Genomic DNA, 26,656 nt, shown 5'->3' on the forward strand with positions numbered 1-26,656 from the left:
TACACACGCAGTGGCCACAGAAAAACCACCACCTTGAAATTACAAAATCCGGTTCCAGTCCCAGGTCTGTCTTAGATTTGCTGAAGGAACTTGGGCAAGTCATTGAACCTTGCCTTGACTGTCCCTTAGCTGTAAAATCAGACAGCCCATTATATCTGTCCTGCCTATGCCAAAGAAATTTTTGTGAAAATTAATCACAAAAACATGAAACACATTTTTGAAAAGGCATAAAATGGCAAGTAAAAGGTATTATTATTGCATCGCTAATTACAGACCTAATATCTAGGCTCGGGGAAAATAAAATCCTTGGAGTCTATAAAATCCACCCATTCTCATTTGACCCAGGGGTTCCAGGCTTGGCTTGAGGAACAGCCAAGGGAGAATACCATTCGGAGGTGCTGTAAAATACAACACATAATTGCAAGTCAATCATACACATGGCATGAGGGTTGGTGAGTTATTCATCATAATGGAATACAGATAACAAGCTTATATTTGTAGCACTTTGACTCTAAGGGAAATTGTTTTGTTGCTTGATTTTTTAATGCACTGGAAAACCAAGGGGTGAAAGTAGCAGGTCATGTCACAGAAGCAAAGAAACCACAGGAACTGAGGGAATAAAGGCCCAAATAAACAGCTCTCTTCAAAAGTGAGTGTGTGGGCTAGGCACAGTGGTGCACACCTGTAATCCCAGCACTTTGGGAGGCTGAGGCGGGTGGATTGCTTGAGCCCACGAGTTTGAGACCAGCCTGGGTAACATGGTGAAACCCTGTCTCTAGAAAAAACACAAAATTAGCCGGGCGCAGTGGCTCACGCTTGTAATCCCAGCACTTTGGGAGGCTGAGGCCGGCAGATCACGAGGTCAGGAGTTTGAGACCAGCCTGGCCAACACAGTAAAACCCCATCTCTACTAAAAATACAAAAATCAGCTGGGCATGGTGGTGCACGCCTGTAATCCCAGCTACTCAGGAGGCTGAGGCAGGAGAATCGCTTAAACCCAGGAGGTGGAGGTTGCAGTGAGCCGAGATCGTGCCACCGCACTCCAGCCTGGGCGACAGAGCTAGACTTCATCTCAAAAAAAAGAAAAACAGAAAACACAAAATTTAGCCGGGCATGGTGGTGCACGCCTGTAGTCCCAGCTACTCTGGAGGCTAAGGCAGAAGTATCATTTGAGCCTGGGAGGTCGAGGCTGCAGTGACCAAGGTAGCGCCACTGTACTCCAGCCTGGGCAATAGAGTGAGACCCTGTCTCAAAACAAAACATAAAAAAATGTAAAGTGAGTGTGTGACATGTGTGGCCAGGCCAGGTTCTGGAACCCAGGGCAAGGACAGCAGGACAAGAACTTCAGCATCTCCAGTAGCCACAGACAGCTTTTGGGTTTTAAGGTCTCATCTGAAAGACACCCACACACAAAATAGCCTAGTATTCAATTTATTCTCTGTAGAAGAATAAAAGACCGAGTCAATGCTGCAAGGATGTGAACTTGGTTTTGGAGGCAGTCGGGAGCGGCCGTCTAAACACTAAACCATCCCCTTCAGGCAGGGAGCACATATATACTAAAGGACGGGGAAAGCAGTCATTCCTTTTAGAAAGAGTGCTTCTGTTTTCATTATCATTTAAGGCTGTAGTCAGTGTTGAACAATAATAAGAAGCTGGCATGGGGAAAAAAATGCACCCAAATCACAGGTGTACACAATAAAAATGCTATTATAGACTTTTGTGAATATAAATAATTTTTTAAATGAGGCTGCTAAGACTGGCATCCCAGATGCTACCTGAAAAAGAGTCATGTTTATATATTCCAGCAGTTGCACCAGTCACCAGTCTCGGATTGCTACCACAGAACGGACTGGGTCATTCTTTTGGCATGAATATCAATGCAGACTGGCTGTGGGACAAAGAAGGAAGACGCGGATCGAAGTGGAGAGAGCACAAAGGGCAGAGAAAAGGGACTTGATGCTCAAAGGGGAGAAATTGAAGAGGACAAAGGAATAGGAAGAATGAAAGGCAATAAGGACTGGCTTACTGGGAATCCTGCTAAACTATACAGCCTCAATTGTACCTAAGCATGGGCTTCACTTCCTGATTTTGTCTTTGCGTTTAGCAACAAACCCAGATGGTCAGGGTGCAAATTTCTTTGCTTTCCTCTGTTCTGGTGGAGGCACTGCAATAATAAATGAGTATTCAGCAGAAGCATAATAATGCTGGCTTTATCAGAGTTACCCCATGTACACATGAGCTCGTAGATGTCAAGGGGGCCTAGTCCTGGTCACAAAACGGGGGCACATTGGAATTCCATGTGGAGGTCAAACGTCAATGTGAGTGATGTAAAGTGGGCAAAAGGAAGGGCTTCCTGACAGCGGGGAGTGGGGAACACAGGAGGCATAGTCAGAAGAGCTGGTGGAATCCCAGAGATATGGGTCTGCCCAGAGGAGGAGATACAGGCTAGAGCAACCTCCGCATTCCCTTTTGAATTGTCCAGGTACAAAACACTTAGTCAGTCGGGCAAGGATGCTTGGTGGGTGGTATGCTGGACCTAAGAATACTGACCACCAGCTGGAGAAGGCGTGGGGAGCTTGAACATCTATCAAGTGAGTTTCAGCATCCTCAGTAGATCCTATCAGGCACTGGTGTTGAGTCCTTAGGGCATGAGTAAAGAGATGAGCACATGCAGGTGGAAACCACCAGCCGGCAGTTGAGGAAGTGGGACTGGAACTGGATCACTGCTGTCTCTAGAAAAAATACAAAATTTAGCCGGGCATGGTGGTGCATGCCTGTAGTCCCAGCTACTCTGGAGGCTGAGGCAGGAGTATCATCTGAGCCTGGGAAATGAAGGCTGCAGTGACCAAGATGGCGCCACTGGATCATCTGGATGCCCCATCAGGGCCTCTAAGCAGGACTCAAAACAGTCTGCTCTTCTTGCCCTCTCCCAAAGGACCTCTCTCCACACTTGGCTCCTTAAGCTAGTGGCACCACCATTGTCCTAGTTTCTGGCTCCAAACCTAGAGTCATCCATGCCTCATATGCTGTTGCTGCTGCTGCTGCTGCTGCTATTGCGCCCCCTCCACTCATTGCAATCTGTCTTCCGCCAAGTCCTTAGGACTTCTCTCCCCTCCATCCTTTCTTTTCAAGCCCTTCTGGCCTTCTCATGCTTAAGTCATTTCTCCTCTGCAGAAGCTTCCCCTTATTCTCTCATTCCCTTCATCCTTCCAGATCACCCTGGCATCACCTCCAGATTGATCTTCTAATACACTACTTGGATCATACCATTCCTCGGCTCAAAAGCTTTCCAGGGTTCCCCAGTGCCTACAGGACACATCCTGCCATTTGAGACTCTCCCCAGTCCTCCTGCCTGAAACTTTCTAACCTAACCCTCTGTCACAGCCAAAGCCACCTTCCATTTTCCCATTGCCACATATCTGCTGCTGTTACAATTTCTGCTCTGCCTAGACACGGTTTAGTCACCATCTCCACTGCTTGGTCTCACCCTGCCTGAAATATTTCTCTTCCCTGAATGCACAATACAGAGTCTCTACCATTCTTCTGGCAATTTGTCACTCACTACCTGTGACATCTCATCTGTTATACATAACATTGTGCTATTACTTAACGTTTTGTCTCTTTCCCCACATCCCCGTCGGGTTGGAATTTTTTTGGTCTGCAAGCACCATCCAGGTTTTAATTTTTTATGTACCCTAGCCTAGTACCCTGAACAGAGTAAGTGCTCACTAAATATTTATTAATTTAGGAGACGGGAACCTTACGAACATTCTTCACTGACTTCCAAAAGGCTTTAGCCCCCATTGAGGCAACACTCTCCATGACCCAGGGCAAGCATCCCACCTCCTCTGACCTACGGCTCAGCTCCAGTGAAAAATTCAAGAGCTTTTCTAGAAATGCCTGCCACAAGTCAAGGTAGCTTCCAGCAAGATTTCATGAAGGTCCCAGGTTTTAACCCAATAAGGTGGAGGCTAATTTTGGCTCGTGACTCATTAATCTCCACAATTGGGGTTAGGAAGACAGGCCCTGCCCTCATATTGCAAAAGCACATCCTTACCCCCCTCCCCCCGGGTACACACATGCCCCACTGTGCACAGACACAGGCCAAGGCAATATAATCATCCATGGCACAATTTTGAAACTTCGTTCCCAAATAGCCCATGGAACTGAATTTCTGATATCTGAGTGCATACACGGATGTGCATTTTCTATTACTTGTTTAGGCAGACTATAAAACATCACTACTGAGGAGTCACCAATTGATGAACAGGTCGCAGGCTTCAAGTTCATGGGTTGGCTATTTGGAACTTAGAAGTGTTTTTCCCTGAAAGCAAGAGTGCCTGGGTTTTCCAGCCAACCTACACAAACCCATTTAACCCTTAATGTACTGCATTATAATACCACAAAGTGATTTTTATTCTATTCAGGAGGGGTTTGCAAATGTGAATGCCTGAAGTGGCCAGGTGGACAATACATAAGCAAGGAGAGTCAGACCAGGAACATAGGGCATGATGGACATTGCATCTAAAAGGGGCCACCAGCCACTCCAGGCTGCTTCTAAAAGGGGCCACCAGCCACCCCAGGCTCCAGCATCGGATGGTTGCCCTGGGAGAATGCGGACCCAATGCGGCACATTGGGAGAAGCCAAAACCCGAATTTTTATGTGAAATAGTTGGCAATTAATTAGAAAAAAGTTTCAACACAGTGCAAATGAAACAAGATCTATCAGTAAGCTGAAATTGGGCCAGTCTTGCAAACTCTGCTCAATAATGTTGCTTCTGTGGAGAAAATGCATTTTAATTTCTACAACTCAACACCAGAAAAGCATTTTCCCCTCTTCTGACTCTTCCTGGGCACTATCCCCAAGGTAAGGCACTACCTTGTGTGAGAGAAGGCTAATGTCTCTGTGGTTCTAAGAACTCAAGGCCCCTCGCTGAGTTTGAGGACGTGACCTCTCCACTCCTTCCTGGTGTGTCTAGGTCATTGGTTCACAGGGTGTGTGCAAATTAGGACCTGCCTATGTTCTGCTTTTGTGGTGGTCGTGGGGATTTATTATTGCTCCGCTGTTTTTGTCTCTGTTTTCTTCTGATTATAAATGTTACATAGGTTCACTAAGAGCAAATTTGGAGATTTTTCTCTCCTAAAAGTAATCACTGGTTTTTGTTACTGTTGTTGTTGTTGTTTTTAGAGACAGAGTCTTGCTCTGTCCCCAGGCTGGAGTGCAGTAGTGCGATCTCAGCTCACTGCAACCTTTACCTCCCAGGCTCAAGCGATTCTCCTGCCTCAGCCTCCCGAGTAGCTGGGACTACAGGTGTGCACCACTAACCCCAGCTGATTTTTTGTATTTTAGTAGAGTCGGGTTTCACCATGTGACCCAGGGTGGTCTCGAACTCCTGAGCTCAGGCAATCCACCCACCTCGGCCTCCCAAAGTGCCAGGATTACAGGCATGAGCCACCGCACCCAGCTGTGAAAGTAATCACTGTTGATGATTTATTTTTTCTATCTTTCCTTTTAAAAATTTTCTCACATTACACAAGTATTGTGGGTTGAATGATGCCCCTACTTCAAATACTTGTGTCCACATCCTAATCTCCAGAATCTGTGAATAAGACTTTATTTGGAGAAAGGTCTTTGCGATACAACAAAGTTGACGATGTTGAGATGAGAAGGTCACTGGATTCTCTGGGTGGGTGAGTGCCTTTATAAAAGGGAGACACACAGACACACAGAAGAGGAAGAAGCAATGTTACCAGGGAGGTAGAGGTTTGAGTGATGTGGCCGCAAGTCTAGGAGTGCTGACAGCCCTGCAGCTGGGAGAGGCAAGGAGCAGGTTCTCATTCAGAGCCTTTGGAGGGGCACAGTCCTGCCAGATTTTGGACTTCCGGCCCCCAGAATTGTCAAAGCATTAAATTCCTGCCTTCTCAAGTTGTGGTAATTTGTTACAGCAGCCCAGGAAACCAATACAACAAGTAATACATGATAAATGTAGAATGTAATTAATTCAAACAATACAGGATTACACCAAGTAAAATGGGAGCAAGTCCCCTACATGCTACACAAATCCCATTCTATTCTGCCATGAATAGTAAGTGTTTCTAGGCCTTTTACTATGGACTTCACACAGACACACAAATGTTTATATATATTTTATGTGCTTTTTAAATAAATGAGATCATAGTATTCTGCTACTTGCTCTTTTTAAAATTCAGTATTTCTTGGGGATATTTGCATGTCTGAACATAAAGATCTGCCTTATCCTCCTCATTAACTGCAGTATATTCTATGAACATTGCCTATGTCATTGTTTTCATTAATTCTAAACTTATGAATGTAACAATATTACAATAATAAATCAAAGTTGACTTGCTTGGCTACAGTTGAAGCTATTTCTCCCCTTTTCAATCTACACATTATAATACATATCTATGTGTTCACCAAGGATTTCTGGCTCTCCACCTGCTACCATTGGAATTGGGTGTGCCCAAGTAACTTGCTTTGGCTAGTACTGTGAGCAGGTCACTTGTGTCATTTCCTATGGGAAGCTTGTGCTTAGTTTGCCTCATTCTTTTTCCCCTGCCAAGCAACTGCAGAAGCACTGAGAGGGTGCTCACCATCAGCCTAGGTCTCCTGGTGAGCTCAACAGAGCAGAGGGACATATTGCATGAGTGAGGAATAAACCTTTGTTGTTTAAAACCACAGAGACAGGGCTTTTTGCTACTGCAGTATAACCCAACCAATCACAACTGAGTATATATAACTGATATCATATGTATTTTTATATATAGAATATATATATATATATATAAAACTAAAGAAAGCTTAATACAAGTATTTTGACAGAGAAAAGTGTGGTTTATTACAGCCTGCTCAGTATTAATCAACAATATTACTTTGTTTTTTGTTTTGGTTTTGTTTGTTTGTTTTTGAGACAGGGTCTCACTCTGTCACCCAGGCTAGAGTGCAGTGGTACAGTCACTGCTCACTGCAGCCTTGGCCTCCTCAGGATCAAGCAATCCTCCCATCTCAGCCTCCCGAGTAGCTGAGACTACAGGCATGCACGACCATACCTAGCTAATTTTTTTGTATTTTGTAGAGATAGCGTTTCTTTTTTTTTTTTTCTTTATTTGAGACGGAGTTTCACTCTTGTTGCCCAGGCTGGAGTGCAATGGTGCAGTCTCAGTTCACTGCAACATCCGTTTCCCAAGTTCAAGTGATTCTCCTGCCTCAGCCTCCCAAGTAGCTGGAATTACAGGTGCCCGCCACCATGCCCGGCTAATTTTTGTATTTTTTTAGTAGAGATGGGGGTTTTCCCATGTTGCCCAGGCTGGTCTGGAACTCCTGGACTCAAGTAATCCACCCACCTCGGCCTCCCAGAGTGCTGGGATTACAGGTGTGAGCCACCACACCCGGTATCAACAATATTACTAACAATACAATTTTACTTCCTATTTAGTCATTTTTCCTTTTTACATTTTCATTAAGACGATGAACTTAGTGACAAAGGAAATGAAACACTACATTTTCAATATCACAAATATCACACTAGCCATAAATCAATAAATGCATTTGGTGAATATGCAAATTCATGGCATTGTTTTCAAGTCTAGTAAATGCCACTACCCTCGGCGTCTATTAAAAAACAATGGGTTTCAGGTTGTTTTCTATAGTTTCATGTATATTTGAAATAACAATGCTCTGTGCGCTCAAAGAACACCCCTTCTCTCTTGCTCAGATTGGCAGGTGCTTTTAGCTTCACGGAGGGGGAAGTACTGTTGTCTGATCAACAGTGATGCCTCCAGCTGATTAAAGAACATTGTCTGTAGAACTGGAAGGGGATCAAAATGCTTTCCGTTCTCCAGGACAGAAAAGATAAGGCCCTGAAGGCTTAAATGGTAAACATGACAAGAGCCTTATGGTTTCAGTGAAAGATATCTAAGATCCAAGCCCTTTCTCTTCAGGGAGGAAGAATATTTTTTAATGATATCTCTTAAAAATGTCACATTTAATAGAAAAAAAAAGTGAAAAGGAAAGCCCTCTGCATCCCCCATGCAAACACTGCAATCAGAGGAGGTTCCTGAATCACAGCTCTGACTCTGTCACAATTCCACATGGAAGATGAGCAGCAAATACCCACAGCCTCCCACTCTCCTGGGCTTGATCACAGCAGCCAGACGCACAATGAAGGAGGCCTCTGATGATGATGACATTCTATTTAAAATTCAAATCTTCACAAAACGCCAGGCTTCCCATCACCTGGTATGAAGTCTTTAAGAGAGGATCCTAAGCTGGAGGATACAGCCTCATTCCTCACAGGTAGGAAAAGGAGTGGAACGAAGAAGACTATTCTCACCCACAACACCTCCCAGCCTCACTGCCCTCTCCAAGTGGGTCTTGTTTGTAGAAATGGAAGGGGATCAAAGTGACTTCAGTTCACTGCCCTCTCCCCAAGTTGATCTTGTGATAGCAAAAGCGGCTGGGCACTGTACAAGGATTCCTGAGTGAATTCTGGGCCCGGTGTAAATCAGTGCTACTGAAGATGAACAGCCTGTGGGTTAATATATATTGGCAGAGTTCTCTGCCCCTCAGCTTGAACTAACCGAGGCGGCATTCACCATCATGTATTTACTTTTGTCTAGCCTCTGGATTACCAGCCTGGTTCTCCTATTCCTTTTTTTTTTTTTTTCCTTTTTTGAGACAGTCTTACTCTGTCACCCAGGCTGGAGTACAGTGGCATGATCACAGCTCACTGCAACCTCCGCTCCCTGGATTCAAGTGATTCTCATGGCTCAGCCTCCTGAGTAGCTGGAATTATAGGTGTATGCCACCACACCCAGCTAATTTTTGTATTTTTAGAGAGATGAGGTTTCGCCATGTTGGCCAGGCTACTTTTGAACTCCTGGCCTCAAGTGAGCCGCCCACGTCAGCCTCTCAAAATGCTGGGATTACAGACATGAGCCACCACACCCAGCCTCCATTCCTTTTTTAAGAACATTATTTATGCTGCTCTCAAATATTTAACAAATACCATAGTTTTAAATATAATTTATTGAGTTCAAATGATTATTATGCATCATGGTAGGCAGAATTCTGAGATGGCTCCCAAAGATTCTTGAACCCTGGCATACACATTTTTCCTAGTTATTCAGTCAAAGGCTAATGTAGGTGCCACTCTGAAGAGATTTTATAGACGAAATTGAAATTTTTTAGATTTAAAAAAAATGTCCCAAATCAGCTGACCTGAACATAGGAGATTATCCTCAGTGGGCCTGATCTGATAAGGTGAGGCCATAAAGTGCCTGGCTTCCTCTGATGAAAGAGCTTGGAAGTGTGCAAGGGCATGGCAAGGAACCGCAGGGGCCTCCAGGAGCTTTGAGCACTGCTGGCTAACAGCCAGCAAGAGAACTGCAGGCCCGGCCCTACAACCACAAAGAACTAAATTCTGCCAAAAACCACGTGAACTTGATAGAAGACCCCAAGCTCCAGAAGTGATTGCAGCCCAATCAACACCTTGATTTTGGCCTTGTGAAACCCTGAGCAGAGAATCTAACTCAGCCATGCTCAGACTTCTGAACTATAGAAACTGAAATAGGCCAGGCATGGTGGCTCATGCCTATAATCTCAGCACTTCAGAAGGCTGAGGCTGATAGATCACTTGAGCCCAGGAGTTCAAGACCAGCCTGGGCAACATGACAAAACCCTATCTCTACAAAAAAAAAAAAAAAAAATTATGAACATTAGCCAGGCATGCTGGTGTGTGCCTGTGGTCCCTGGTACTTGGGAGGCGGAGGTGGGAGATGGCTTGAGCCGAGGAGGCGGAGGATGCAGTGAGCTGAGATTGTGCCAGGGCACTCCAGCCTGGGTAAGAGAGCCAGACCCTGTCAAAAAAAAAAAAAAGAAAAAAGGAAAGAAACTGTGAGATAATAAATTACTGTTTTTAAGCTGCTAAATTTGTGGTAGTCATGCAATAATAGAAATCTAGTATAATCAGATACAGCATATTTGCTCTGGCCTAAAATGTAAAGAAAGTTAAGTACAAATGCAATTTTAAATTTTATACCTCATTCTTCTTCCTTTAGAAGCAGGTACAAAAGAATAGAATGTCTTTTCCTTTATTAAATAATAAAATTTAAATTGGGTCAGGTGCAGTGGCTCATGCCTGTAATCCCAACACTTTGGGAGGCTGAGGCTGGTGAATTGCTTGAGGGCAGGAGTTCAAGACTAGCCTGGCCAACATGGCAAAACCCTATTTCTACTAAAAATACAAAAATTTGCCAGGTGTGGTAGCGTGCACCTGTAGTCCCAGCTACTCAAGAGGCTGAGGCATGAGAGTCACTTGAATGCAGGAGGTGGAAGCTGCAGTGAACCAAGATCACACCTGCACTACATTTTAATACCTCATTCAGATGTATCCAAAACCTAGAACTTTAGGATCATTACTAAGTACTCCTTATTCTCTTTCATTTTTCATAACCTTCCTATTGTAATTATAAGGTTTTAGAATTCAGTTTATCAACATAAGATGTAAAATGGGATTCACTTTCCCAAGTTCAAACATATACAGTAACAAAATAGCAAAAGAGCCGGGCGCGGTGGCTCACGCCTGTAATCCCAGCACTTTGGGAGGCTGAGGCGGGCGGATCACGAGATCAGGAGATCGAGACCATCCTGGCTAACACGGTGAAACCCCATCTCTACTAAAAATACAAAAAATTAGCCGGGCATTGTGGCGGGCACCTGTAGTCCCAGCTACTGGGGAGGCTGAGGCAGGAGAATGGCGTGAACCCGGGAGGCGGAGCTTGCAAGTGAGCTGAGATCGCGCCACTGCACTGCAGCCTGGGTGAAGAGGGAGACTCCGTCTCAAAAAAAAAAATAGCAAAATAAGCCAAAAGACTTTATGTAGTGCATTTATCCCATGAAATAACTATATTCCATGACTGGTAATAGAAATCCTACAAGATGGATGAAAACTTAATTTCATCAATTAATACAAAAAAATGAAATAATAGTAATGTTTCTGTTTTGAAATTATAAATTGCTATTTACATCACTGAATTTTCTCCTAATCTGCTTCAAGACAAAGAATTTTCTTTTTCTTTCCTGTATTAATCATTGAAGATTAGTTTCTAATTAATTTTGGAGCATCAGAGCCTTTCAGCTCCTTGAATAAAGATATTGTTAAAATTCTAAGGTTTTGTTTGTTTGTCTGACTCAATTAATTGGATGCATTTTAATGCCAAGTTTCCAAGACACAGAGAAGACTTTAGGAAAGGCACTCAAAAAAAAAAAAAAAAAAAAAAAAAAAATTCAATGAAGCAGCGCCCCTTAGTGGTAGAAGGACAAAATTATCAGTACAGTAAAGATCTTGCTGAGGTATAACAATTTGTAAGCGCAAAATAATTTTCCCTTTAAAAAATTAGAAAGAGTTAAGTAAAACATTTTAGAGTAATCATTGCAAAGTGGATTATGGGGATTCGCAGGGCGTTTAGAAAGCCGAAAGGGAGTCATTGCATCTGCTGGGGAAAGTGAAAATCGAGGATTAACAGCCTTTAACATGTAGGAAATTAAATTATCCCTAATACAAGTAGCAGAGTAATCTCAACAGCCATTTGTCCTCCAATGACTCTTTCACTGAGATGAAGTACAAATGAAAGTAAGCTGATTTTGTAGATATATGGGGTAATTTTAGGTACAGTATTTACATGACCCTTTAGCATCATTGATTCATTAATATCAATACTCAGCAACATAAGACCTGCCAGCCATACTTTACAGTTGCAATCACTAAGGCTCAGGGAAATGAGGGAAGTGGTAGAGTCAATACTTGGATGTCACTGTTTCCAGTTCTGTAACCCTGTAACTGGGTCCATCCATGGTCCACCACATAGAATGTACTCCATCCTAGAACTCTCCTTGTCTACTAGCTAAAAGGTATATGGCTGAGTCACTACTGTGTGAACTCTGTAGCCCAACTGCTTGGGTTCAAAGTCTGGGTTTCCTGTAATCCCAGCACTTTAGGAGGACAAGGTGGGAGGATGCCTGAGGCCAGGAGTTTGAGCTCAGCCTGGACAACATAGCAAAACCCTGTCTCTACAAAAAAAACTTAAAACTTAAAAACAAAACAAAACAAAACAAAACAAAAAATAAACAAACAAAAAAACCCTGGCTTTGCTTTACACTGAGTGTGTGGCCTGGGTAATCACTTCGGTCCTTCTCTACCTCAGTAGAAGAAGTAGCAAGACATTGTGTTGAGGATTAAATGAGAAAATACAGAAAGCGTTTGGAGAAATGCCTGGCACCTAGTCAAAATTTGAGAAACCTTAGTTGTAATTAGCTGATATTGCATAGATTGACAAATTCTCCAACGTATCGCAAACTTTGGGTTCTATTTAAACTCAGGATGCATTCCAGCTATCAACAATGGTGAATTACTTGGGAGGAGTAGACTTTGGATGGAAAGAGAGCTTCAACGTTTATACTTGGCATACTTCAGTACTGTTTGAATGTGTTACAACATGTATGTTGCACTATTGTAATTTTAAATAAATAAATACAGAATATTTCAAAGCTTGCTTCAGTAATCCACTCTGGCCCTTGGAGTTCACTTGCTGGAATTTCTTGCACACATTTAACCCCCGTCCTCTTAGCCCTTTGCAAAGATGTCCCACTCCACCCCAGGCTAATTTTTTGATGAGACCTTTTGATTACAATCCAGTAGTTGCTGATGGCTGCACTCCAAGAGCACATCTGCCAGAAGTCATGTCAATGCTACAAACTCCTCTGCAGTGTAAGCACACTGGTGCTCAGCCTGAAGAGTGAAGTCATGCACCAAAGAAAACAAGCCACAGTCACAGATTTCAGTCGGCAACAGAGTACTGAAAGCTGTCACAGCATTCTTCTGTATGGATGTCAGGCTGTCCATCTGCACTTGGATTGACAAGGAAAGGGAAAACTGAGAGGAGAAGCAACCCCCAGGCATCCTTCCCAGTGTTACACTGTAGCCCAGACCAAACCAGAACATGCAGGCCACTGATGCTCTCCCACCTCCTAGAGAACTGTGCAATTCAGAACTGCCCTAGAAATCTCGAGCAGCTTCTAGCCGGGTGTGGTGGCACACACCTGTAATCCCAGCTACTCAAGAGGCTGAGGCAGGAGAATCGCTTGAACCTAGGAGGTGAGGGTTGCAGTGAATGGAGATCTTGCCACTGCCCTCCAGCCTGGGTGACAAAGTGAGGCTCTGTCTCAAAAAAAAAAAAAGAAAAAAAAAAACAAAAGAAAAAAGAAAACTGTAGCAGCTTCATGAGGACATTTAATATCTAGTGAAGGATTTTGGAACAAATAGCCCTACACAACTCTTGGACAAGTTCCTTAATCTCCTTTATAAAGAGAGTAATTAGTTAGGGTGATGATAGGTGCGGTAACAAGTTTATTTCTCCCTTACAAGAGTCCACTGTGGGCCAGGCGCGGTGGGTCACGCCTGTAATCCCAACACTTTGGGAAGCCGAGGCAGGCGGGATCATCTGAGGTCAGGAGTTCGAGACCAGCCCGGCCAACATGGTGAAACTTCATCTCTACTAAAAACACAAAAATTAGCTGGGCATGGTGGCTTGCGCCTGTAGTCCCAGCAACTCGGGAGGCTGAGGCAAGACAGTCGCTTGAACCCAGGAGGCAGAGGTTGCTGTGAGCCAAGATTGCACCACTGCACTCCAGCTTGGGCCACTCCGTCTCAAAAAAAAAAGAGAGAGAATCCACTGTGGATGCTCCTGGGTCAAAGGCAGCAGCACTCTGCTGTGAACAGTCCTTCAGGGACCCAAGTTGATGAGGGGCCTGCCATCTCTAATGCTGGCTCTCAAAATCCCCTGGGCATTGGTCTCCCGCTGGTAGAACAGGAAAAGGAGCATGCATGGGAGGTTTTTATGGGCCAGGCTTGGAAATGGTGCCATTATATTCCGCCAACTAGAACTCAGTCACATGGCCACACCTGTGTATCTGCAAGGCAAGCTGGGAAATGTCATTTATCTCTGTGCCCAGAGAAAAAGAGGGCATGGATTTGGCAAACAGAGAGCCAGAACCAGTCTCTGCCACAAGAAATCACATATTTACACTGAAGAGTTGTGATAAAGATTAGAGATAATGTGGTGATATATCCTTGGCCTACGGGGTCATGGAGTTTGGGAAAGACACATCAAATATGAAAAGAGGAGAGCAGTAGAATGCCCAAGCAGAGACCAGATAGTGGGCTGAGCTGAAGTAGTCACAAGCAACAAAGGTTAAGGTGCTGGCAGAGCAGACTGATTCATTTAGGGATAAGGGATTTGAGCTAGGTCACTCAGGTAGTCACTGATGCTGTTCACCAAAGGGCTTCAGTGCTCTGCCCTTCAGGTCATGAGGTGGCACACACTTCCTGCCCCACCCACCCCTATTGTGTGGTCAATAGGCAGAATTGAAATGTGTCACTTCTGGACTGAGCTTTTAATTGCTGGGATGAGACTCTCTGGGGGACTTTTTTCCTTTGCCAATGACCACAGTCTGTGTTCCAGAGAGGGCCTGCTCTATCAGCCTGGGTCCTGGAAAAGGGCACAGAGCAGAGCCTCTTGGTGCCTAGGCAACATCTTGTCATTTTAAGTCACTGAGATTTTTTTGTTTGTTTTTTTGAGACGGAGTTTTGCTCTTGTTGCCCAGGCTGGAGTGCAATGGCACGATCTTGGCTCACTGCAACCTCCACCTCCCAAGTTCAAGAGATTCTCCTGCCTCAGCCTCCCGAGTAGCTGGGATTACAGGCATGTGCCACCATGCCCGGCTAATTTTTGTATTTTTAGTAGAGACAAGGTTTCTCCATGTTGGTCAGGCTGGTCTCGAACTCCTGACCTCAGGTGATCTGCCCTCCTAGGCCTCCCAAAGTGCTGGGATTACAGGCGTGAGCCACCGCACCTGGCCAAGTCACTGAGATTTTTAAAGTTGCATATTACCACAGCATAAACTGGCTTATTCTTACAAGTATAGACACTTTTTTTCAGGCAAGAGGCATCAGATGGCCTGTGAGGCAAACCAACCAACCAACCAACCAACCAACCAACAAAAAGGCACTCTTGTCCATTTTAGCTCATTAGTTCCAAGAATTAAGGAATCATGCTTTTTAAAACATAATTTATACATTATCGCCAAAATGCAAGCAAAAGAAGTGCTTAATGGACCTTGAATTATTTAAAATACTAATAAAGCCAACTTTCAATAGAACTCCAGACACACTCTCTTCCTTAAAAGATCATTTGACCCAATTTGAAGAAAGTTTAAAGCTACCAAGTGCTAAAAAGCGATGTCATGGGCATATTAGTATCTAATCAACACCCCCCCCCCCCCATAACCTGGTATAATCAGAAATAAAAGAAAAATGAACGTGAGGGAGCTTTGAAGGGAACTGTGGTCAGCTGCCTGGAACATATTTATGTAGGGGACAAATCTGGCAACTTGACTGTCCTCTGGGCTGTCCAGAACTGACCTCCTGAATTAGGGACAGCCTCCTGCACTGCTGGTTGCCTTACAGGCCAGCTCTGTGCTGTTTTCCTAATTCGTGCAATTCCACCTCAGATCTCATTCACATCAGCTCACACTGCAGGGTAACTTGACATGGAAGTACAATGAGTGGGAGATCGTGGCTCTCTTTCATGCATTCCTGTAGAGTGACAAGAGCCATCCAACAGAGCATCCTCAGTTCTGCCTGCTTCAGCATCACAGGAAGTCTGATGTTTCCAGCCAGCTGGTTGAGCTGCCTTAACTGGAGCTCACCAAGCAGACTATAAAGTCTCTAAATGCAGGACCTGTATTTTACTCATCTCTGAATAGCACGGTAATTACTTCTGAGCCTCCTTGGAATTCAGTCAGATTCTGGCTTGAATATTGATCCCACCACTTAATAACTGGGTAACCTTGGCCACTTAACTTCCCTAACCCTGTTTTATAGTCTATAAGATAGGAATGATAATGCCCCACTCCTTTGACTTGTTGTGGAAATTAAATGGGACACGTATACAAAGCTGCTAGTGCAGCTCAAAAGTCTTAGTTGAGTGCTTGGAAGAAGAGTGGATTCTATCCCATCAAGGGTGTGTGATCTCAGAAGAGACTGTGTGCATCTCTTTATCAAGAGCTACAGGCTGGGCGTGGTGGCTTACGCCTGTAATCCCAGCACTTTGGGAGGCTGAGGTGGGAGAATCACTTGAGCCCAGGAGTTTGAGACCAGCCTGGGTAACATAGTGAGACACTCCCATCTCTACAAAAAAAAAGAAAAGAAAAGAAAAGAAAAAAACGCTAGGCGTGGTGGAGAAGATCGTTTGTGCCCAGAAGTTCGGGGGCTGCAGTGAGCCATGATCATGCACTATACTCCAGCATGAGTGACACAGCAAGACCCTGTCCAAAAAAAAAAAAAAAATTAATACAAACATGTACGTTTGTGATTGTGTCACAGTGGCAGTTTAAAGGAGAAATCCTTTGCCAGAGGCTGCAAAAGCTATAAAAGTTGGAGTGGAACAGTGCTTCAAGGGAAGAGATTGGTTTTCATTTTATCTGCATTGTTTGATTATATAAGTACATGATAACTTCAATAGGGATACCAAAACAAATAAATAAATTTTAAAAAGAACATGAAAGGCCAGGCGCAGCAGCTCACACCTATAATCCCAACACTTTGGGAGGCCGAAGCAGGTGGATCGCCTGAGACCAGCCGGGCCAACAGAGCAAGACCTGCCCCCCTCACCCTCCCATCTCTACAAAAAAAGAAAAAAACTTTAAAAAAAGTACATGTAATTTTAAATGAATATAACTTTTTAGAAATGTTCGGCTGGCAGGGTTGCCGGCTTATGTGCTGAGTCTTTTACCTCGTTTGGAGATAGCGAGAGCAACGAAGAGAAAACATTAATTACCCGGTATTAGTATTAATACGGCGGCTCCATTCCCACATGGACCTGGGGGGGACAAACAAAGTCTCCTAATCTTGGACAGCTGCGCCCAGCCCTTCTTCACCTGCCGTCCAGGTATCATCCTAGTCTTCCCTCCGTCTCTGGGGTAGGTCGTTTCCACCCCTCCGCCCTGGTCCAGGCCACTGAGGGAAGGGAAGAAACTAAGGCCGGGAGGGCCGGGCCCCAGCCTGGAGCGTGTAGCTCCGGGCCTCCCCCGGGCGCGGCAGTTACGGCGGTTCCGGAGCCGCGGCGCCTAGGGCCGAGGGGCGGGTCCGAGGCCGCGGCCTTGCCTCCGCCGCGCCCGCCACTCCGCGGCCGCCGGGAGACACGCCGCCATGCTGCAGAAGCGGGAGAAGGTGCTGCTGCTGAGGACCTTCCAGGGCCGCACGCTGCGGATCGTGCGCGAGCACTACCTGCGGCCCTGCGTGCCCTGCCACAGCCCGCTCTGCCCGCAGCCCGCCGCCTGCAGCCACGGTCAGGGCCGGGGCGGGGGCGGGGACGGGGCCGGCGGGAGCGGGCGGCCGCAGTGAGGGGCTGAGCGCGGCCGGGAGGCGGAGCGCCAGCGGCGGGGACACGGAGGCGTAGGCCCCGCGGCCTGCGCCCGCTCGCCGGCCTCACCCCCCGGCTCTCTGCCGGTGGGGACCCAGCGGCCCGGGTCCGCGGCTTCTGGGGCGCCCGGGACTCCCTTACTGCTCCGCCCTGTCCAATGGGAGGGCCCGACAGACCCGCACCCCATGCCGGAGGCCGGGTGGTTTGGCTCCTCAGAGGGGCCTGAGGGCGCGGAAGCCGAGGCCTCCTCCCGCCGCAACCTCGCGCCGTGGAGAAATGGGGAGGTCCCGAGCTGGGAGCCCCCGGGAGCTACAGGCCAGCTGCTGCCGCTGCGAAGCTGACATCGCCTGCTTTGCAGCCACAGGTTTCCTGACCTGCCCGCACTGTTGCCCCAGACTTTTCCCCCAGTGGAGAGCCACTTCACCGTAGATTTGTGAACTCTCTGGGCCCGCACTGGAGCGGAAGGTCACGGGGAAGTTGGACTGGGGACTCCTGGGCCCCAGTCCTTGGTTTCTAGGCCACAAGGGTGGCCGATAGAACGATGCACGTTACTGGCTCTCTTCCCCCATGGGAGGATGAGAATGGGCTGGGGGTCCTTGTCAGCGAATGTGTGGAATCCTCCAAACATTGTGATTAAGGTGAACATTTCAGTTAGAGCTTGGCTAACCAGCTCTCAGATGCAGGTCTGGTGGGAAACCTCACCTCTGCACGTTGCTTGCACGGAGCATTTTCTCTGTTCAATCTTTCTGGCCCTTGGAGGCTGCTGAGCACGTGCAGAAGCTTGACACAGAGCCAACTTTAAATTGCTGGGCATCATACACAAGTGGTATAAATGTGGGGGTGCTTCATTTGAATGTGTTTGTCAATGATGAGTTAACACTGAAATATTCAGGTTATGCTGAAAATGTGCTTGTTCGTTGTTAAATCAGCCATCCTCTCCGGCACCTCTGGCAACACCATAAACCACGTTGAGCTTGTATTTATCACAGCTTCCAAAAAAATGAGGGTGCTCAATATACCTGAACTTTGGGCCTCTACCAAAGTAGATTTGTCTTTTAAAAACTCCCACCATGGAGTTAAGACTGGAAGTTATTTTGCATGCCAGAGCACCGTGACATTTAAATAAACCAGGTTTGAAAACATTGTCTAATCTCTTACATTTTGAATTATGTTTCAGATGGGAAACTCTTGTCTAGTGATGTGACTCATTACGTGATCCCAGACTGGAAAGTTGTTCAAGATTATCTTGAGATCCTTGAGTTTCCTGAGTTGAAGGGAATTATTTTCATGCAGACAGCTTGTCAAGCTGTGCAGCATCAAAGAGGCAGGAGGTATACGTTTTGCATTCTTTATTTCTATATGGCATAGGTTCCCCCCACCTTAGAAAAGGTCCCTTGTCGGAGGGGGATGGGAGGAATTCATTATTTTGTCAGAAGGGACTTTTAAAACTAATTTCGTATTCTCTTTGATAGTGAGGAATGCAGTAACATTATTTTATATTTCTGCTTCAACACCTGGCCAAGAGATCTGACTGTAGATTAGTAAACTGCAGTGTCCCCAGTATGTGGGTATTTAAGATTCTAGTGTGAATTGTCTTTTGGCTTGCATTTTTATAGTGGCAGGGTTATTGCTTATTTCTTGTTGATAATGTGTATTATTTAATCTTATTTATAGATACATTGTTTCAGAAGCATACGTTCTTTTCTTGGGGAAAAGAGTACTTTATTTTTAAATTTTAGACTCTTTTATTGGGGATGCAAATTGTACTTGTAATGATTTATTCAATGAAACCAGAAATAGCTTGTTTTATTTTTAGATTACTAGTGTAACTACCAGCCATAGTCATTGTATTTGCTAAACAAAGGCTTTCTAATTGAACAAGTCTAAAATTCTTGCCTAGTACTTAAATGAAGAATAGCTGTCTACCTTTTAAACAAATACTTTGAAAAACGATTTTGCTTCCTTTAATGTTGGGAAAGGTTTATGACTTGAACTTAAAACTGTATGGAAATAGCATATTAGAATTATACGTCCAACCTTTTAACACTCTAAGTTATTTAATAAGCACCAACTATGCATTTATTCTTTTTTAAAATGTTGTGGTTTCTTCAGGCCTTAGTGATAAAAGATGAAGTGTTTTTATTTGTATATGAAAATGGCAAAAAATTGTCCTCTTATTATATGCTCAGTTCAAAAAACATACATTAACCAGATTGTGTGCAGGTTTTTTCAGATAGAATATTTTTAAATGATCTTCAAGTTGATTTTGTTCAGACACCAAGATATAGATGTTTATACACATCCAAATTTAAATGCTGCTCCAGGTGTCATATTTCAGTTTCTGCTACTAAAATCAATTTGTTGTTATCATTCAGATTGCTAACACACTGCGAGCCTTTTCAACTTCTGTTTTCTGAAATATTTTTAATGTTAAGGATTGTTTTAGAAACCAGTTCCTGGGACATTCAAAGACAAAGAGTTGGAATTTAAACGTTTTTTTCTCCTGAACATTTCAAGAGTAGTTAACTTGATGAAAAACTATTGGTTTTCCACTGCCTTACCATGTCTTTGAATATACTAAATGTGAAAACAAAAGATGAGGAGTTATGAAATAGGGCCATATGATAACACCCTGATTTTGTTCGTTGGGTAAGCACTTTTTAAGCTCTTAGTTCCAGGCCTTGGGGAATAAAAAAGAAGTCTTTTTTTTTTTTTTTTTTCCTTGAGATGGAGTCTGGCTCTGTCGCCCAGGCTAGAGTACAGTGGCGTGATTTCGGCTCACAGGTCACTGCAACCTCCACCTCCCGGGTTCAAGTGATTCTCCTGCCTCAGCCTCCTGAGTAGCTGGGATTACAGGTGCACGCCACCACGCCCGGCTAATTTTTGTATTTTTAGTAGAGATGGGGTTTCACCATGTTGGTCAGACTTGTGTTGAACTCCTTACCTCATGATCCGCCTGCCTCAGCCTCCCAAAGTGCTGGGATTACAGGCATGAGCCACTGTGCCCGGCCCAAAATCAGTCTTAGTCCCTCTAACAACAAACCTATTGTCTTGCTGGGGTTAGATAGAAGAAACAAGACAGTTATTATGAAGCGCCTTAGACACACGAAGGATAATTTAACGTGGACTATGCAAAGTGCAGAAGTAAACGTGGAGTGGAGCAATTAGGCCAAAAAATCCTTTGGGGGAAATGGATTTGAGACTGGTCTTTAAGGCGTATTACGAGTATGATTGAAGAAGAGGAAGAAATCAGCAAATTTGGGACTTGGCACTTTGTTTACCTGTTAAGCAACCAGCAGGTGCCTTCAGGTTGACATAGCTAAATGACCCAAATTGTCTGAGCACTAGAAAGTGTCATTTCTTAAAGGCTAACTTTCAAATTAATAATAGGCATTGAATACATAAGATCTGAGAGATGTGCTTGATTAATTCAGCCTTCCTAAGTGTTAAGTGTAAGTTATTTGACTTTTTTTAATTGACAGATTAAAATTGTATGTATTTGGCCAGGCCTGGTGGCTCATACTTATAATCCCAGCACTTTGGGAGGCCAAGACAGGAGGATAACTTGAGCCCAGTTCAAGACCAATCTGTGCAACATAGTGAGACCCCTGTCTCTATTAAAAAACTTATTTTTAAAAATCATATATATTTATGGTATACAACATGATGTTTTAAAATATGTATACATTGTGGAAAGGCCAAATCAAGCTAATTAGCATATGCATTACTTTACATACTTAACATTTTTTTGGTGATAATTAACTTTTTATATTTAACTGAACTTGGCCTAGCAGAAGCTCTCTAGTGTTTTGTTCATTTAATGTTGGGGAACATTTTGTTTTGTTTTTCATTTCTTCCTTGGACATTTTTGAGATGCAAGTAAATAATTCATTTTATCCAATATGCTTTTAGGAACATTCTTGGTTAGGAAAGTTTTGTCAGTTAATAATCCCTGGTCCTGTCTGGTGTCTGGTGTAGGATGCTTTGCTTGTTCCTTTTGACTCCCTCCTGAATTCCTTCTGTATAGCTTCAGAGAGTCTCCATATTTCATGCCTCAGTTTCTTGATGGTATATAAGATGGGAATCAGGCCAGGCTGAGTAGCTCATGCCCATAATCTCAGCACTTTGGGAGGCTAAGGCAGGTAGATCACTTGAGGTCAAGAGTTTGATACCAGCCTGGCCAACATGGCGAAATCCTGTCACTACTAAAGATACAAAATGCGCGAGATGACGTGGCGCATGCCAGTAATCCCAGCTACTCAGGAGACGGAGGCAGGAAAATCGCTTGAACCCGGGAGGCGGAGGTTGTGGTGAGCCGAGATCATGCTACAGCACTCCAGCCTGGGCAACAAAAGCAAGACTCCGTCTCAAAAAAAAAAAAAAAAAAAAAAAAAAAGATTGAAATTGTAGAATATTATGGTTGGAGAGATCTGAAAGGTCACATGATCTAACTCCCCATCCAGTACCTCAGTGTTCTCAACATGAGTGATATATCCATCTTGTTTCTAAAAGAAAAAAATCCTCCTGGATACCCAGTGTTATTTTCTTCTATTGTTATTTAAATGTGTTTAAACATAAATCTCGGTATAAGTCCTCATGTTTAAGTACTTTAATACAACCCTAGTGTAAGCTAAATAATCAAAGTAACAAAATCAGAAAACCGCAAATGAACATTATTCAACGTGACAGATAACATTGTTTTGCTGAAACAAAATCACCAGAGTTAGGTTTAACAATGGAAAGACACAGCCTTTAATCTGGTTATATTTGTAATAAGATTTCCTATTTTGACTTCAATAATATCAATGCAGAGAATGCTTGTTCTCATAAGTGTATTGCACAGAACAGTATGACTAATGTCAGGTCTTAAGTCGTTCAGGATAATCACATGTTCTGCCATCTAATAATCTTCAAATAAATGCTTATTTAATGAGGAGTCCCCCTGACAACTCTGTAAGGCTGTTTTGTCCACCATGTTCATGTGTTCACATGTGTGTTGGTTTATTCAACAAATGTTCACCAAGAGACTATATGTGCCAGAAACTGCTAGCACTGAGGGTACAGTGGCGAACCAAAGCAGATGGAGTCCTGGCAGGGTGACAGGCAGTAATCGGGCAATTACACAAACAGATGCAGAACTGCAACTGTGACAAATGCACTGAAGCACAGGGATGGGGCGCCAGGAGAGCCCAGACCACCCAGGGAGGCAAGGAAGGGCTTTTCTGAGGGGGACGCCTAGGTGGAGGTCCAAGGGTTGGCATAAACCAGGCAGAGTGGAGGAAAGCTTTCAAGGCAGAGGAAAATGCCTGGGGCCCATGGGGAGGGGCCTGTGGCACACCCCAGGAGCAGAAAGAATGCCTGGGTGGGATGGAAGGCCTCATGGCCTCAGGGATGTCAGGGAAAACTTTTAAGCAAAATGGGATAACATGATCAGATTCCTGTCCTGAAAGGATTACTCAGCGGTGGTTCACACTTGTAATCCCAGCACTTTGGGAGGTGGAGGTGGGTGGATCACTTGAGGTCAGGAGTTGAAGACCAGCCAGGCCAACATGGTGAAGCCCCATCACTACAAAAATCCAAAAATTATCTGGGCGTGATGGTGGGTGCCTGTAATAATCCCAGCTACTCAGGAGGCTGAGGTGGGAGAATTGCTTGAACTTGGGAGGCGGAGGTTGCAGTGAGCCACGATCACGCCGTTGCACTCCCGTCTGGGCAAAAGAGCAAAACTCCATCTCAAAAAAAAAAAAAAAAGGGATTACTGGGCCAGGTAGAGAAGAGGCCTGGAAAAAAGAAGGGAGGAGGCTTTTGCTTTAGTCCAGATGAGGGAATGTTGGTAGCTTAGAGATAGAGAGAAATAGATGTTTCCAAGGAGTATTTAATAGGTAAAAATATATAAAACTTCCTAAGTGTATAACTAAGAGAATTGAAAACATGTCAACATTGAAACTAAAAACATCATACACAGCCGGGCGCGGTGGCTCACGCCTGTAATCCTAGCATTTTGACAGGCCAAGTTGGGCAGATTGCCTGACCTCAGGAGTTCCAGACTGGGCAACACGGTGAAACCCATCTCTACTAAAATACAAAAAATTAGCCAGCTGTGTGTGATGCACGCCTGTAGTCCTAGCTACTCGGGAGACTGAGACATGAGAATTGCTTGAACCTGGGAGGCGGAGGTTGCAGTGAGCCAGGATCGCTCCACTGCACTCCAGCCTGGGTGACAGAGCAAGACTCCATCTCCAAAAATAAATAAATAAATAAAAATGAAAACATCATACACAAATGTTCATGGCAGCTTTCTTCATCATAGCCAAAACATGGAAACATCCCAAATGTCCGTTAATTGATTATGGTTAAGCAAAATGTGGACTATCCATACAGGGGAATATTATTCAGCCATAAGATGGAATGACGTACTGATAGATGCTACAGTGTGGATAAACCACAAAAACATGCTAAGTGGAAGAAGCCAGAGCACACATAAAAACATCATATGTTGTATAATTCCATTTATGTAAAATGTCCAGAACAGGTATATCAATAGCAACAGAAAGTAGATTAGTGGTTGCCGGGGGCTGGGGTCAAGGGGAACAGGCAATGACTGCTTAATGGATGGATACAGATTTCTTTTCCGAGTGATTAAAATGTTCTGTAATTAGATCGACGGTGATGGTTGCATAACTGTGACTATACTAAAACCCACTGAACTGTGTGTGTTTTAAGGGCAAATTTTATGGTATGTGAATTATATCTCAATAAAGCTGCTCTTTTTTAAAATCTCTAGAACTAGTGATAGATTTAGGTACAATAAAGCTGCTCTTTTTTAAAATCTCTAGAACTAGTGATAGATTTAGGTATGTGAGATGGCGGGGAAGGTAGGGTCAAGAGTATCACTGAGGTTTCTGGCCTACATGACTGGATGGAGAGAGGGAACACTAGAGGAAGCCTGGGGGCAGGGGAGTCAAGGTCGAGAGTTTGAAGTGTCTCTGGGGCATCTGAGAGGGCCGCACTGACGCCAAATGGCAGTGCAGTTAGAAGGCAGTCGTTCAGATGGCCCCAAATGTACTCCATAAAAATGTTTTGTGAGTATTGTCTAATATAAATGGCAATATAAACTTGTGGAAAACTCAGTGGTGTCTGAAGGTAAGTCTGTGAGACCCTACCTGGGTTCTGCAAAATCCAGGTGATGAAACACATTTAGTACAGAATTCACTTTGTAGGTCTTTCCACTGGTGTGGGACTCCCACTTCTAATCCTTAGAGAGAACAGTCAGCAGCGGAAAGGGATGTTGCATCTGTAGGTAAGGTCACCACTGAATAAAAATAGTAAAAAAAATCAACCTAAAGAAGGTAGGTTTAACTGCCCCTCTGAGAAATTGCTTAAAACATTAAGATGATGGAGTTTTAGAAAACATCCAAGCCAGTCCAAGGAACTAAGGTTTTTCTGCAAGAGTTGAATTTATATTTATTTATTTATTTATTTATTTATGAGAAGGAGTCTCGCTCTGTCACCCAGGCTGGAGTGCAGTGGTGCCATCTCAGCTCACTGCAACCTCTGCCTCCTGGGTTTAAGCGGTTCTCCTGCCTCAGCCTCCTAGATAGCTGGGAATACAGGCACCCACCATCATGCCTCGCTAATTTTTGTATTTTTAGTAAAGACAGGGTTTTGCCAAGTTGACCAGGCTGGTCTCAAACTCCTGACCTCAAGTGATCCTCCCGCCTCGGTCTCCCAAAGTGCTAGGATTACAAGCATGAGCCACCACACCTGACCTGTACTTGACTGTCTGAAACCATTGTTCTCCTGTCATTCTGGTCGAATTCGCTTAAGGCACATGGTGCTGTTTGCTGACTCCGTGCAGGATGTTCATCTATCTGGTCCCATCATATGCACTACAAAATCCTGACTAGCAAAAAATATGACTATATCATATGTATGCGCTATTAAATTATAACTGTAAGCCCACATGTCTACAAGCAAACCTGACTGTCACACTCAGAGTGATTCGCTGTTTGTTTCCTGCTTTCTGCATTAATATTCTTTTGCCGTTTGTTCATTTGTTTTATCTGGCTGATAGGTAGCTGACAAATGGAAGCTTGCACTAAAAGTCTAAGAAAATATATATGGGAGTGAAACTTAAAATTGAGAACATTTTTTGTTAAGTGATATATTTTTCTAAATATTAGGAAGGATTGTCATTACTCTAATCTGGTGGTAACCCCTGGGTCTGGCTTGTGGCAGACACATCAGTATTTGCAGAGAACAGAATTCAAGAATCCCTGGGTCTGCACGGTGGCTCACGCCCAGCACGTTGGGAGGCCAAGGCAAGAAGATAGCTTGAGCTCAGGAATTTGAGATCAGCCTGGCTAACATAGTGAGACCCTGTCTCAATACAAAAAAAACCAAAAAAATTAGCTGAGCATGGTGGCCTGCGTCTGTAGTCCTAGCTGCTTGTGAGGCTGAGGTGGGAGACCACTTGAGCCTGAGAGTTTGAGGCTGCAGGGAGCCATGATCGCGCTGCTGCTCTGCAGCCTGAGCAACAGAGCGAGTTCCTGTCTCAAAAAAACAAAAGCAAAAACAAAAACCCTGGGTCTGAAGTGAAGGTGTGAAAACAAATGCAGTGATGTCTATGAAGCTTAGCAAAAGGCAACGGGGCTCTGGAAATGTCAGTTTATTCAGGGGCGTTATTACCCTGCACTTGGATCACTGTTATCATGTAGGGCTGTGCATTCATTTGTTCATTTGGAAAGCATTGATTCAGCACCTGGGGGTAAAGCACTGAAGTAAAGCCTTACTGTCTGCTGTCTCGCACATTCCGCCCTGCTCTCGTCTCTTGGGCTCTTTGTCTCCACTCACTCTTATTCATCCTTCAGAGCTCATGGGTCACCTACTCCAGGAAGCCTTCCCATCCCTCCCATCTTCTCCTTTCAAGCACTTATCCCACCGAAATGGGTGGTTCTGTCTTATGTTTGGTTTGTTTTTGCCAAGTAGCATAGCTTTATTTTAAATTGTGGTAAAATGTACATACATAAAGTTGTCATTTTAACTATTTTTAAGTGCACAGTTCAGAGGCATTAAATACATATGCCTTGTTGTCAGCCATCACCAACATCTGTCTCCAGGACTTTTCATCTGTCCTAACTGAAACTCTATACCCCTT

General features: G+C 44.2%; 1 protein-coding gene and 1 long non-coding RNA gene across 18 annotated transcripts in view, besides 2 other annotated features; one reads left to right on the forward strand and one right to left on the reverse strand.

Annotated features, from left to right (window-relative positions):
* Positions 1-2,183: 2,183 nt before the first annotated feature.
* On the reverse strand, positions 2,184-17,188 carry DIS3L-AS1 (DIS3L antisense RNA 1). Of its 4 annotated transcripts, none has more exons than NR_183867.1 (2): positions 17,015-17,188; positions 2,184-2,732 (listed from the first exon to the last, which is right to left on the reverse strand). It is a non-coding gene; the product is annotated as a DIS3L antisense RNA 1 (long non-coding RNA). The 4 variants fall into 4 exon arrangements; NR_183866.1 differs by having other exon boundaries at positions 16,915-17,188; NR_183868.1 differs by lacking the exon at positions 2,184-2,732 and adding an exon at positions 9,029-9,876.
* DIS3L (DIS3 like exosome 3'-5' exoribonuclease) overlaps positions 16,998-26,656 on the forward strand; it is a 40,590-nt gene continuing 30,931 nt past the window's right edge. For 5 of the 14 annotated variants that reach the window (NM_001323939.2, NM_001143688.3, NM_001323940.2 and 2 more), the window contains exons 1-2: positions 17,257-17,424; positions 18,677-18,830. Coding sequence is in view for 8 of the 14 variants with exons in the window: in NM_001143688.3 (NP_001137160.1) it covers positions 17,286-17,424; positions 18,677-18,830 (293 nt within the window). In the remaining 6 variants the exon portion in view is untranslated. Of the gene's footprint in view, positions 17,057-17,256; positions 17,425-17,503; positions 18,138-18,676; positions 18,831-26,656 lie in introns of those variants that run through there. The other 9 variants (NM_001323944.2, NM_001323943.2, NM_001323946.2 and 6 more) reach the window with 4 other exon arrangements.
* Positions 17,054-17,713: a silencer, noted in NCBI's record as "silent region_6562". NCBI's record gives its function as "represses an Ori minimal core promoter by ATAC-STARR-seq in GM12878 lymphoblastoid cells {active_cell/tissue: GM12878}" and the evidence as "EXISTENCE:reporter gene assay evidence [ECO:0000049][PMID:35858748]".
* Positions 22,706-23,206: an enhancer, noted in NCBI's record as "H3K4me1 hESC enhancer chr15:66591355-66591855 (GRCh37/hg19 assembly coordinates)". NCBI's record gives its function as "activates a minimal SCP1, AML or CMV promoter by ChIP-STARR-seq in naive and primed H9 embryonic stem cells {active_cell/tissue: H9 hESC(naive and primed)}" and the evidence as "EXISTENCE:reporter gene assay evidence [ECO:0000049][PMID:30033119]".

This window comes from Homo sapiens, chromosome 15 (genome assembly GCF_000001405.40).
Source record: "Homo sapiens chromosome 15, GRCh38.p14 Primary Assembly".
NCBI lineage: Eukaryota > Metazoa > Chordata > Mammalia > Primates > Hominidae > Homo > Homo sapiens.